This window comes from Homo sapiens, chromosome 12, assembly GCF_000001405.40.
Source record: "Homo sapiens chromosome 12, GRCh38.p14 Primary Assembly".
Lineage (NCBI taxonomy): Eukaryota > Metazoa > Chordata > Mammalia > Primates > Hominidae > Homo > Homo sapiens.
The window spans coordinates 22,741,003-22,755,925 of NC_000012.12; the positions used below are offsets into that span (position 1 = coordinate 22,741,003).

Sequence of the window (14,923 nt, forward strand, 5' to 3'; positions counted from 1 at the left end):
AACATACCAACTACATATTCTATAGGTTATTGTTGTAATAAAATAAGACTCCCAGCAAGGTAACTTGACTCATTTAATGTTATGAATGCTCCTTATTATAAAGCAGGATAATTGGGGAAATGCTTAGAAGCTTACAACATGAGACAATCATTTCAGTGGTTTTTACAGAGCCAGATGGATAACCTCATTCGTTCTCTAGCAGTTAATGAATAGCATCGATATTTTCCTGAGGCAATATGTTTTCATCTTCATTGTTATTGTCTATATACCCATAAAGATTTAAAGATAAATATTCTTTTCTTTTCCTTTTTTTTTTCTTTTCTTTTTTTTTCTTTTGAGATGGAGTCTCACTCTGTCGCCCAGGCTGGAGAGCAGTGGTGTGATCTCAGCTCCTGGCAACCTCTGCCTCTCCGGCTCAAGCGATTCTCCTGCCTCAGCCTCCTGAGTAGCTGGGATTACAGGCATGCACCGCTGCAGCCGGCTAATTTTTGTATTTTTAGTAGAGACGAGGTTTCATCATGTTGGCCAGGCTCGTCTTGAACTCTGGGCCTCCAGTGATCCGCCCGCCTCGGTCTCCCAAAGTGCTGGGATTACAGGCCTGAGCAACCATGCCCGTCCTTAAAGATAAACATTCTAGATCAAAATGAGCTGGAATCCACTTGCCCTTTTTGGCCTTCCTGCATTCTGCCTCCTGCAGTCCTCTCCTGTGGGTCCTCTTCTCTCAAAGGTCCCTTCCCAGACTGTAGAGTCGCACAGCTCCAGGGACACCTTTCACATTGCATTCTATGTTTATAACGCTCCCTGGAGCTGCTGTGCCTCAGGGTTGCCCTGAGGGTGGCAGCTCAGTGGCAAGTGCATCCTGCTTTCCGCCTCCCATCTTTCTACCTACCTCTTGATTGGCACCTGAGGCTTGTGGCCCAAGCCCTGGAGCTGTCACTGACAATCTGAGCTACTGTAGGAAAAGGGGAGACATGAAGCAATTAAACATCACATCTCTGGTGAAGAGTGAGAAACTGGACATAGCCACAGTTTCTGCGTGCCTCACCCGACCCTCCCCGTCCCCGGCCCATACCTTGAACTCCGGTCTTTACGTTTTTTGTGTTTGTGTAAATTTGAGCTCAAAAGATAATTTTAGGGGCTAAAATGAGAGATTTACCTAACCTCTGGGCCAGTAGCCTACTTGAATAGATTCAGTCACTCTGACCCTGAAACAATCAATATTTTCAAAAAGGGGCAATCTATTTGACAGCATCTTGAGCTTCATTGGTATGACGGCCATGGTGAAGAATGATGAACCCAGGCACAGGGGAGGGGCCAGGCGAAGTAGGAACCATCTTTGTGTCTGCAGTGTTTGCAAGTCTTGGAGCAGAGGGGGAGGGATTAGCCTTAAGGAGTGGGTAGAGTGAGGGAGAGAGAAAGGGGCAGCCAATTGGTGCGATCTGTGATGCCTCAATCTGTGATGCTTGAACAGTCTCTTTCAAACTCCTGAGTTCTTGGGGAGTTGGTCTCCTGTGGTTGTAGCCAAGGTCTCTCTCCTCTAGGACATGAGGATCCTCAAGAAGGTGCCAGAAGGGAGGCATCTCATCCAGCCTCATAAAGCTATGAGGATGGCTATAACATGACATCACGGGTAAGAAGACAGCCCTGTTCCCTACATATTTCTCCTGCTTTGCTCACTGATTACTGAAACTTTTTTTTTTTTTTTTTTTTTGACAGAAGCAAAGGCTTTCACTTTCTGGAGTGAAAAGAGAAAGGGAACATGGACATGCTCCTTGAATGGTTAATCACCCTGCCCCCCACTGATGCCTGTGTGACCCAAGCTTTCCTCCTTCCTTGCTAGTCACTTGCCCCAAGACTTCTACACATCAACTCCCCGCTCTGGAGTCTCCTCTGTTGTCATAAACCATTGGGTTGTCCAGAATCTTGGCTCTCAAAACATGGTCCATGAACCAGCAGTATTAGCATCACCTATGAATTTGTGTCCAACTTAGACTACTGAGTCATAATCTTCATTGTAACATGATATGCAGATGATTTGTAATTTGTATGAACATTAGAACGTTAAAGTTTGAGAAGGTCTGGCCTGAAACACTTCTTCATATCAAGCCTTAACTGAAATCTGATTTATAATGGTAATCATGATTTATAATGATACCATGATTTATAGTGGGGGTAATTATCACTATACTTTTAAATAGTACATGTGTTAGTTAATTTTATCATGTTTTCAGCAAGTGCCTACTGTATTCCAGGTACTACAAGTGCTGCAAATTGGGGATATAAGAATAGTATCCCCACAGAGCTCACGGTGTAGCAGGCTTATGAAAACAAAACAAAACACTCAAACAAAAAAAATCACAAAATTGTATTTCAAGCTGTACAAAGCTATGCCCTCTAATTAATGCTATATTTCTCTCTTCACGTCTTTCACTTTTCTCCCAGAATCCATGTATTCTGTGAGAAAAAAATCTGACTTGAAATGTTACCCTCTTTCCACTTCTTTTCCATTTCAATGCTGTTGTTGCATTGCTGGCACAAGCCTCTAGAAGTAGTATTCTCAGGCCCAATTGGAAAGGCAAATCAACAATTTTTTAAAAATTGGATTTTAAGAGAGCATTTGTGTTCCATTTTCTCAGATGACTTTCTATGTATGTATCTCATCTTCAATTAGCAATGCTTCTGCCATTATTACAGGGCATATTCTGGAATTTTTCTTGTTTTGGTTTTGTTTCTGTTGTGGGGTAGGGAGAAAAGGAATGATTGAACATGTTTATTAAATGCAGCCAAGCTTGTTTAGGTTTTGGAGATACCAGAAGGTTATGTTTTGTAAAATATAATTGACACTAGCATCACAGGGCATGGGCTCCAAGGATAACATTACATCAGGACCTTAGTGTGTTTACATGAGCATAAAAGAGCTGGTTCTGGTGAATCAGGAAATGATTTGGAAAGAGTAGTGCAAAGAGGCTAAATCTTCCATGGGAAGATGCTGCTGCTTCTGTTGCCAGGGCTGCTGCAGTTCTTTGAAGTCAAAATCTGTAACTGATTTGAGTTTAGGTCTCTTGATCAATATCAGATAATACAAAAAACCTGATTTTCTTATCTTATGGGAATTTATGGCATCTCCCCTAGTCTCGAGATCACTTCCTAGCATGTATTTCAAGATAGTTTTTTGTATATGATCTTATACCATTTTGTATATGATCTTATTCCACCATTTTGCTTTTCCCAGAACTGAATACTGATATAGTTACTAACACAGCACTCAATGAAATTTCCAATATTTTGGCTTCTCTTCAGTAGTTTTTGCCTTCTTTGACTTTTACTGCCTTTGTTGGCTAGAGTTTTAGCTGGCACCGTGCTGACCCAGCAGGTCACTTCAGTTTGGAAAAGAGTGAGTAGCATTTGTGTTGCTTACTCAGCATGTTATTTCTCTTTGGAGCAAAGTGCAATGGCTTCTGGTCAATTTTTGAATTGATTTTAGGATGGTTTTAATGATTTATAAAGGAGCATTTAATCCCATACATCTAGGCTTTATTTGCCTCATGAAATCAGCTACTACATGAAATTGTCTAAGGTTATATAGTTCATCCCCTAAAAACAAACACACAAAATTACTCCTTGGAGAAGAGTTGGTGTCAATTTCTGCTTATAATCAAAGCTTCATATGTGGTCATTTGACTTTTCAAAAATTGAATTTCAGGCATTTCATCTTTCAAAAATAATATATTTCAAAAGATAAAAAATATAACTTATATAAGTACAAAATGAACATGCATCAAACAAATCATTTGTGTTTCTGCTGAATATAAATCTGTAAGTTAGCATGTAACTTCACGTGGGTTATAATCAATGGCAAATAGTAAGTCAAGCACAAATACATTCTTGCAGAGAATAAATAGGTTTTGGGTGGGCCTATTAGAGAATGCTATGTTGTGACAGTGAGAAGATTAGGGGTCATTCTTTTGCTTTATTTTCAAGTTTTGGATAATTTTTCTTAACAATCCTCCTTTGTCCCAATAATAAATAATACCTGAAGATTATTCTTGATCACATGAGAGGTTAGTTACATTGTGTTTTGTCCCTGTTCATTTATATTGATGCAGCAAGATATGAGAATTTTCATACATAGGCCTCTTTGGAGTATAGTCAACAAATCTAGAGCCATGTGGTATTGAGAGAATTAACTTCTATCTGGTCACCTCTGGGTCTCCAGTTACACATATTTATACAATTCGATATTGTTCTACAAGTTCTTGAGGCTTTGTTTACTTTTTTTCCCAATCTTTTATTCTCTTACTGCTTCACATTGACTAATTTCTGTTGTCTGTCTTCTAAGTTTGCTGATTCTGTTTGTAAAAAATAGTTAAGGGCATAAAAATTCAGCACAAAGTAGATAAAGTTATTTTGGTGAGATACAGAATCCTGTTACCTGGGCAGATAACAGAAAACATGAAGAATACTTTTTTTACTATCTCTTATTAAGAGCAGACAAATTACTCTAAGAATAATTTTTCATTTTCAAAGTGAGAAACCTAATTCTTAGCCTTTCATTAAAGCATTATATTTGGAGTTAGTATATCAAACTAAGCAAACTTTGCTGATTTTCTTTTTACATATTGCATTTCTTCTTTTTAATTTTTTAAAACTATAGATTCGGGGTGTACATGTGCAGATTTGTTGCATGGGTATATTGTGTAACGGTGGGGTTTGGTCCTCTAGTGAACCCATTGCCCAAATAGTGAACATGGTACCCAATAGGTAGTTTTTCAACCCTAACCTCTCTCCTTCTTCTCCCCATTTTGGATTCCCCTGTGTCTATTATTTCCATCATTATGTCCATGTGTACCCAATGTTGAGCTCTCACTTAAAAGCAAAAACATTTGGTATTTGGTTTTCTGTTTCTGCATTATTTCACTTAGGATAATGACCTTCAGCTTCATTCATGTTGTTGAAAAGCACATGATTTCATTCTTTTTTTAATGGCTGTGTATACGTATACATATGTATGGTGCATATATACCACATTTTATTTATCCAATCCACTGTTGATGGACATGATTTTGATATTGTGAATAGGGCTGTGATAAGCATATGAGTGCAGATGTCTTTTTCATAAAATGATTTCTTTTCCTTTGGGTAGATACCCAGTAGTGGGTTTGCTGGGGTCCGTGGTGGTTCTAATTTTAGTTCTTTGAGAAATCTCCATACTGTTTTCCACAGTGGTTGAACTAATTTATATTCCCACCAACAGTGTATAAGTGTGTTTCCTTTTCTCTTCATCCTTGCCAACATCTGCTATTTTTTGACTTCTTAGTGATAGCCATTCTGACTGGTGAGATGGTATCTCATTGTGGTTCTAATTTGCGTTTTTCTGATGATTAGTGATGTTGAGCATTTTTTCATGTTTGTTGGCCTTGTGTATGTCTGCTGAGAAGTGTCTGTTAATTTCGTTTGTCTACTTTTTAATGGGGTTGTTTTTTATTGATTTTTTAATAGATTCTGAATATTAGTTCTTTATCAGAGGCATAGCTTGCAAATATTTTCTCCCATTCTGTAGGTTGTCTGTTTACTCTGTTGATTGTTTATTTTGCTGGCAGAAGCTCTTTAATTTAATTAAGCCCTATTTGCCTATTTTAAATTTTGTTGCATTTGCATTGGCTGTCTTAGTCATAAATTCCTTGCCTAGGCCAGTGTCCAGAATAGTTTTGCCTAGGGTTTGTTCTAGGATTTTTTTATAATTTCAGGTCTTAAACTTAAGTCTTTAACCTATCTCGAGTTAATTTTTGTGTTCAGTGACAGGTAGGAGTCCAGTTTCATTCTTCTGGATATGGCTAGCTAGTTTTCCCAATACCATTTATTGACTAGGGTGTCTTTTCCTCATTGTTTATTTTTGTCGACTTTGTGGCAGATCAGTTGGTTGCAGGTGTGTGGCTTTACTTCTGAGTTCTCTGGCCTGTTCCGTTGATCTGTGTGTTTATTTTTGTACTGGTGCAATGCTGTTTTTGCATTTCTTTTTAGACATTTTTTGCAGGTATTCAAAACCAAAGCAAATAACATTGACTTTCCATAGCCTTCTACAACTTTCTATATCCATTTAAGTTTTGTCTTTCATTAATTTCTTCCAAATTCTCAAACAAGACACTTCAAAACAAAACCATTTTCCTTTTCTTTTGAAAAAAAAATCTCTCTCTCACACACACATCTCATTTTCTTATGCGTTTCTTATGCATTTCTTATGCATATTATTCTAGTATAGCATCAACAACTCAGCATTAACAAAGCAACTAACTCCTATTCATCAGAACAACATTGAAGGTAGGTAAATGTCAACTGTCTGTTATATACAAGCACTATGGCAAACTACAAAATACGTGAGTACATGCAACCTCTACAGCTACACACTCCCTTTTATACCTTCTTAAAGTAGCGCAAATGAATACATTTGTTGACAGAGCTCAGAGGCATAGATTCCCTAAAATGTGTAAAAATAAGAAACAAAAGTACATACTGTGTATTAAAACTATGCGTACTTAGAAACTGAAGATATACAAGAATTTTCCATCAATTAACTCAATTTATTATTAGTATTTTTGTCTAAAACTTAAAAAATGATCTTGGAAAATCAGTTTTAACTGACACAGTACGGGACATAATAACTCTTGATATAAAATGCTTATCAGAATTATAATTCTATTTCACCGAACATATAATTTTATATTTTCCTCAATTAAAAAATGTATGAGAGGAATAGTGGCTTATCTGAACTTATAAAGCAGTTAAAAAGTCTAGGAACTTCAGATTCCTAGTTTCTTAGTGAGCAGCAAATACAGTTAAAAAAGTATTTTTTTATTATACTCCACATTGATAAAATTAGGAAAAAGATGCAAAGCTCTTTTTAAGCAAAATCATGAAAATTCATTTTGATTTGTCCAATGATATTCACATTTATTACATGAACTTGGATGCTTCTATAAAAATGCTTCTGAGTTGGCAGTTTCTGTAAAAGGTTTTGTTTTTGTTTTTTAAAGGCTAACACACTCAGGACTAGAAGTTCAGTTTCTTTATTTTATAAGAATTCTGTAAACATTAAATTTATGTGGTTCTTATTGTTCTCTATGAACCAAGCAGAACAGAGCTTCTTTAATTTAAGAGGTTTTATAGCTTAATGTATTAATACCCTCCAGAGGTAGGAAATATTTCATGCACACACAATAAAAAGGAAATGCCTTTCTCAATTATTGACACAGAGACACACGGAGAGCTTGCTGCTTCAATTCTACAACTACAGACAAAGGTCTAAAGTAAACAGAAAAATAAAATTTACTGGTAACCTCAAACAAATTTTCTCTTTTCCAGTGGGCATAAAGTTTTACCTAACTAGGTTAAGCTCACAAAAAGCCAAAGCAACAAACCCAAAAGTGGAACAATGTAGATGATCTTTCATCTCTTATCTGGCCAAGAATGAGTTGTCATTATATTGAATAACGTTGTCAAATAGTCATACCATAAAATCAGATTTCCAGTGGTCGTTTGTTCCAATGGGTAATAACTTATCAGCCATGTATAGACCAGACTCATGTGTACACAGGGTGTTCCATATACTACCTAAGGATTCATTATTTACTAATAATCCCTGGCCTTGATGGCAGAAAAAGTCATGGCTAAAACCATAAATTAGATGAAATACAGACAACAACAGCAACCAGAATTGGCCAAGAACAAAAAACAAAAATAAAAACATAAAATCAGAAGAATAAAAAACAGAGATTCAATGAAGGAAAAGTTATATTGCCCTTAAGATTCACTCCAAGATCTCCATAAAGATGTTCTCAGGAGGAAACAGCTTATAATGTGTACTTCTTGGACAATACATTAGAATAGACTGTAGCAGACAAGTCTATCTTAGTGGGAAAACCCCCACAAAGCTGGGCCCAGGGGTTCATGCCTGTAATCCCAGCACTTTGGGAGGCTGAGGTGGGTAGATTGATTAAGGTCAAGAGTTCAAGACTAGCCTGGGCAACACGGAGAAACCTCGTCTCTACCAAAAATACACAAATTAGCTGAGTGTGGTGGCATATGCCTGTGGTCCCAGCTACTCTGGAGGCTGAGGTGGGAGGATTGCTGGAGCCTGGAAAGTCAAGGCTGCAATGAGTTGTGTTTGTGCCACTGCAGTGCAGCCTGCATGATACAGCAAGACCCTGTTTCAAAAAATAAAAATAAAATGAAATTATTAAAGTATACTTTTCAAAAAATTATAAACATGGCATTATTCTCATACAAATATAAAGTAAGATGTCAAAGATTCATTTACCTCATGAATGAGGTATGCAGCTGGAAGGTAAAGCTGGTCTAAAGAATAATTTGAGGGACAAAGATTTATATAGTCACCCATGAATAGTGTGATGAAATAAACTTATTAAATTGAGAAAGTTATGGCTTATGCAGCTATAAAATTATAAGAGTTAGGATCATTTTTTCTATTGGAGAGAAATCATCACTTAAGACAAAAATCTGCAAATAAACATTTATCTTCATAGAGCCTTGGGGCTGTAATGAACACTAAATAATCAGTCAAACAAAGATATATTTCCCTAGAAAATTAAACAAACCTTGGGAAGACCTATTAGACCAGTGGTCCCCAACCTTTCCAGCACCAAGAATTGATTTTGTGGAAAACAATTTTTCCACTGACAATTTTTTCGTGGTCCTCCCCCAACATCCGTGGAAAAATTTGAGCGTGCAACCTAGATCCCTTGCATGCACAGTTTATGACAGGTTTCACAGTCCTATGAGAGTTTAATGCTGCCACTGATCTGACAGGAGGCAGAGCTCAGGGACTAATGGGAGTGATGGGGAGCGGCTATAAACACAGATGAAGCTTCGTGCTTACCTGCCACTCACCTCCTGCTATGTGTCTTGGTTCCTAACAGGCCATGGACAGGTACTGGTCTGTGGCCTGGGGGTGTGGGACCTCAGTGTTAGATAATGCTCCAGTATAACATTGAAAAGTAATTCTGGCATATTTTGCCTTATTTCCAAGTTTTGGATAATTTTTTCAAACAGTTCTAACTTCTTTGAATCCTAATAACATTAGCCAGTGTTTCTCAGTCTTACAAAGGCTTATTAGAGAAATGTTTAAATAACATTCATTTGCTACATCATGAAATGTTTTTACATCTTTGAAATCCTTTGTTAAATTAATTTACAAAGAAAGTCCCAGAACTGGATAAGGCTTAATTTGGTTGAGGCTTATGTCGGTTAAGGGAGACCCATTATTTATTTGTACTATTCAAAATTTCATTGGTGATTTTTGGAAATGTTCCCAAATTCTTTGACACTTCTTTCACTCCAAGAAATGAAGGTAAATTCTTCTCCTCTTGTGGGTGGGCTGGACATAGCAACTTGCTTATAACAAATTGAATATGGTGGAAGTAATGGTATAGAGCAAATAAGGTGAGATCATAGAAGACATTTAGCTTCCTCCTTACTCTATCTTAAATCACTTGTTCTGAGAGAAGTCAGAAACCATGTTGTGAGGACACTCAAGCAGCCTAAACAGTGAGAAATGGAAGCCTCTTGTCAACAGCTAGTAAGGAACTGAGGCTTCTAGCCCACAGCCATATAAGTCAGTCATCTTAGAAGGAGATACTCCAGCTCCAGTCAAGCTTTCAGATAATTACAGTTCCTACTGACATATTTTCTTGAATTTTCACCAAAGACTTTACCATACCACTCAGCTAAGCTGCTACTGAATTCCTGAACCATAGAAAGTATGAAATAATAGATTTTTGTTTTCTAAGCTGCTAAGTTTTGGAGTAATTTGTTGCATAGCAATTAATATTTAATATAAGCCCTCATAAAAATTGTCCTCTCTTTTGGAAGGTGGAAAAGTAAATTTTTTTCTCAACTCTTAAATAAACCGATTTTCTCACACACTAGAGATAAGGAGGCTTACATTTTGTGTGGTTCCAAACTGCTGTTTGGTTCTTAGGTGATCTTGAGTATGGCTTCCTCTTTGTTACCACTTGCTCACTGGACATTGCTCAAAACACGTCTAAGATGGACTTCTGAGTCTACATCTAGAGAATATATAGGCTGAGAGGTTGAACACGATATTGAGAAAACCCTCTATGGTGATTATCTTCTATGTCATGAAACATAAAACCTAAACCCCAAAGCTGGGTTTGATTCCCTTTTTGAGGGTTGAGCCCTATATTTGTTTGGATAGCTTCTCTCTCCCCATCTCCCATGGCTAATAGGCTGGGACATGTATCCATTTATTATGTGTGATATGTTGACACTTGTAGAAATACATTTTTGGGCAAATTATAAACTTAGATTCAGATTTTTCATTTATTTTTTAGACTGGGAAACATCTTTAATGTGGTAGAAAAATACAGATAAATTTCTGACAAGATAGTGAACCAACATGTCTTGCTCTCTCCCCCCAGAATTTAAACCTAGAGAGCCACATAAGGAAGAAACAGTGTCCAGATACATAAAGTAATGACTATAAGAAACATTCAAGAAGAGGCCCAGCGTGGTGGCTTGTGTCTAATCCTAGCGTTAAGGGAGGCCAAGGCGGGTGGATCACTTGAGGTCAGGAGTTTGAGACCAACCTGGCCAAGATGGTGAAACCCTGTCTCTACTAAAAATACAAAAATTAGCCCAGTCCCAGCTACTCAAGAGACTGAGGCAGGAGAATCGCTTGAACCCAGGAGGTGGAGGTTGCAGTGCACTGAGATGGCGACAGTGCACCTCCAGCCTGGGTGACATAGCGAGACTCTGTCTCAAAAATCAAACAAACAAAAAAATAAACACTTAACATGGTGAAACCCCGTCTCGACTAAAAATACAAAAAATTAGCCAGGCGTGGTGGCGGGCGCCTGTAGTCCCAGCTACTCAGGAGGCTGAGGCAGGAGAATTGCTTGAACCTGGGAGGTGGAGAGGTTGTAGTGAGCCGAAATTGTGCCACTGCACTCCAGCCTGGCGACAGAACGAGACTCCGTCTCAAAAAAAAAAAAAAGAGGGAAGGTGTGTGTGTGTGTGTGTGTGTGTGTGTGTGTGACTGAACTGAACTGGGAAATGAGTTGGGAGAGAACTTCTGAGTTGTATACTTTTCCTTCTGGATATATTGCCCTGGATGGATTAACGTTTGCTCACACGTAACTGTGGAAGAGAGAAAATGGTAGAGCCAGCCTAGTGCCTTGAGGGCTTTTGTGGCAACAGAAGGGCAATTCCAGAGACTGACCTGAGTGAGGAGCAAATAACAGCAGATAAAGAATGACTTGCTGCCCCCCAAGCATGTCCTCCTGCTCTTTCCATACCCCTTCATGCCCCAAGTTATGCCAATATGTCGAGGAAGAAACGTCCTCTGAAGAGAGCAGATTCAAAGTTAGAGGAATAAGAATATCCCCCAAGGAACAGGGTCAGCAGGAAAGAGGGCAATAAAAAGGACTGGGGAAGACCCTGGGCTCCCAGGCCTAGAGTTGATTACACCTCATAAACCTATGAAGAGAGCAGAAGCTGTGTGTGAGCTTTGCATATTTCAGCTAAGATTAATAATTCTTTTTTTTTTTTTTGGAGATGGCGTTTCAGTCTTATTGTCCAGGCTGGAGTGCAATGGCACGATCTCAGCTCTTTTTGGAGATAGAGTTTTGCCCTTGTTGCCCAGGCTGGAGTGCAGTGGCGTGATCTCGGCTCACCCCAACCTTTGCCTCCCAGGTTCAAGCGATTCTCCTGCCTCAGCCTCCCGAGTAGCTGGGATTACAGGCATGCACCACTATGACTGTAATAAAAAAATACTAAAAATTTTGTATTTTTAGTAGAGATGGGGTTTCTCCATGTTGGTCAGGCTGGTCTCGAACTCCCGACCTCAGGTGATCTGCTCGCCTCGGCCTCCCAAAGTGCTGGGATTACAGGCATGAGCCACCACACCGGGCCTGATAATTCTTTTAGGGGAAGATAAGCTTCAATTGGCAGCAGTAGCCAGATAGCTGAGAAGTACAACATGCCTAAAGAGAGACAACAAACTAGGCTGTCTATAATAGGTAGATCAGAACTAATGAAACAGATACAGAGTTTAGAATAAATATAATACGTGTCCTCAAAGAGATGAGAGAATTTTGGTTATATGAAACATGAAGGAGCAGTTATAATGAAAAGCCAAATGGAAAGAGTGAGTATAAAAATTATAACAAAATCAAGAATTTCAGTGAGGGATAAGTAGCATGGAGGTTATAGGCATAGGCAAAGAATAAACTAGTAAACCATAAAACAAGTCTAAGAATATTTTGCAGAAGACACAAAGAATTAATAAAAAATTAAAAAAAAAAGAAAAAATAATGGTAAGAAGGATAAATAAGAAGTGCAAGTATATCCATGGCGTGGTCTCAAAAAGATAGAAAAAAGTATAATAGAGGTGAGGAAACAAAAAATAATAACCAAGAATTTTCCAGAATTAGGTAAAGATGAATGTCTTAATTTATTTTCTGTTGCCTATAACAGAACACCTGAAACTGGGTAATATATAAAGAAATGACATATGCACATGAATGTTCATTGCAGCACTATTCACAATAGCAAAGACATGGAATCAACCTAAATATTCATCAATGACAGATTGGATAAAAAAAAATTTGGTACATATACACTATGGAATACTATGCAGCCACAAAAAAGAATGAGATCATGTCTTTTGTGGAAACATGGATGGAGCTGGAGGCTATTATCTTTAGCAAACTAACACAGGAACAGAAAACCAAATACTGCATGTTCTCGTTTATAAGAAAGAGCTAAACAATGAGAGCTCATGAACATAAAGAAGGGAACAACAGACACTGGAGTCTACTTGAGAGTGGAGGGTGGGAGGAGGGAGAGGACCAGAAAAAATAACTCTTGAGTACTCGACTTAATACGTGGGTGATGAAATAATCTGTACAACAACCCCACTGTGACATGAGTTTACCTACATAACAAACCTGCACATGTACCCCTGAACCTAAAATAAAAGTTAAAAAGATAAAAAGAAAATATATTTCTTACAGTTCTGGAGCCTGGGAAGTCCAGGGGCATTGCTTGGTGTCTGATGAGAGTCATCTTCCTTGTGGGGACTCTGTACAGAGTCCTGAGGCAGTGCAGGGTGTCACATGACAAAGGGGCTGAATACGGTACTTGCTTACTCAGGTTTCTCTTCCTCTCCTTATAAAGCCACCAGTTTCACACCCATGATAACCTATTAATCCATTAATCCTTAAACCATTAATCCACAAGTGGATTAATCCATTCATGAAGGCAGAGCTCTTGTGATCCAATTACCTCTTTAAGATCCCACCTTTCAATATTGCCACATTGGGGATTAAGTTTCCAACAGATGAAATCTGAGGGACACATTTACTCCATAACAATGAGTAATAGTTATATTAAAGAGTTTATGGGGTACCAAATAGGAAAAATAAGAAAAATCTCACACCTAGAGATGGGAAATTTAAGAACATCAAAGAGAAAATTCTGAAAGCTTCTAGATATAAAGAGTTGATTCACAAAATTAAATCAGATTGAAATTAAACTTCTCATTAGCAATACCGGAGGCAAAAAGACAATGGAGTAATAATGCCAACATGTTAAAGGAAAATAACTTCAAACTATAATGTTTTATGTTTTCTAGTGGCTACCATTTATTGAGTACCTGCTACATTCTAACTACTTTGCACACATCACCAATTGCCCTGGCAATGCTGCAGAGTAGATATCAGCATTCTTTCACTACAGATGAGAAAAGTGAGGCTCACGATGTTAAGCAACTTGCTCAATGTAATACAGACAGTGGTAGAATGGGGATGAAAACCCAGATCTCTAATTCCAAAGTCTGTTTAAAGTATAGTTTTATATTAGGTTAAACTATCTTTTCAATGGAGAATCCCAATACAAATATTTTCGGTTATGACATGGTCTTAGAGTTTTGACACATAAAGACCATATTTGAAAATTTTCTTGGAAGAAGTGCCCAGGAAGAAGAGAAATAAATCCAAGAGGATGCTTAATTGATACAAGAAGTACAGGTTATAAATAATGTAGGAAAGCTTATTATGATCCAAACAAGAAAGGTCTCCTCATAAAGAAGCAGAAGTGTATTATTATAATTCAGAACTAAACTATAGTATATACCAACATGGCCACAGATGGGAGGTAGGGTACAGCAACTACAGGGAGAGTATTATGAATTGAATATTCGTGTTCCCCATCCCCCTAAATTTGTTTGTTGAAACTTAATTCTCAATGTGATGGTGTTTGGAGGAGGGGCTTTTTAGAGATAATTAGTTTGTAAGGATAGAGCCCTCAAGAATGGGATTAGTGCCTTTATAAGAAGAGGCCAGGCCAGGCGTGGTGGCCCACGCCCGTAATCCCAGCACTTTGGGAGGCCGAGGCGGGTGGATCACCTGAGGTCAGGAGTTCGAGACCAGCCTGGCCAACATGGCGAACACTCGTCTCTACTAAAAATACAAAAATTAGCTGGGCGTGGTGGTGGGCGCTTGTAATCCCAGTTACTCGGGAGGCTGAGGCAGGAGAATTGCTTGAACCCAAGAGGTGGAGATTGCAGTGAGTCAAGATCACGCTACTGCACACCAGCCTGGGTGACAGAGTAAGACTCTGTCTCAAAAAGAAAAAAAAAAAAAGAAGAGGAGGAGGAAGAGGAAGAAGAAGAATAAAAAAAGAAGAAGAAGAAGAAGAAGAAGAAGAAGAAAAGAAGAAGAAGAAGCCAGAGAGCTAGCTCACTCTCCCATGTGAAGATACAAGGGGAAGTGGGCAGTCTGCAAATGGAAGAGGCCCTCACCAGAACCCAACCCTGCCAGCACCGTGATCTCAGATTTCCAGCTACCAGAACTGTAAGAAATAAACTTCTGTTTTTTATAAGCCACCC

The 14,923-nt window shown here is 38.4% G+C and overlaps 1 long non-coding RNA gene across 16 annotated transcripts in view; it reads left to right on the forward strand.

Moving 5' to 3' along the window:
• Nucleotides 1–14,923, forward strand: part of LINC02955 (long intergenic non-protein coding RNA 2955) — a 491,729-nt gene that overhangs the window by 41,144 nt on the left and 435,662 nt on the right. For 2 of the 16 annotated variants that reach the window (NR_187497.1, NR_187498.1), the window contains 2 exons: nt 1,542–1,630; nt 1,717–9,939. The exons of 13 other annotated variants lie outside the window; for them this stretch is intronic. This is a non-coding gene — a long non-coding RNA (long intergenic non-protein coding RNA 2955). Of the gene's footprint in view, nt 1–1,541; nt 1,631–1,716; nt 9,940–14,923 lie in introns of those variants that run through there. One more of the 16 variants, NR_187499.1, reaches the window with a different exon arrangement.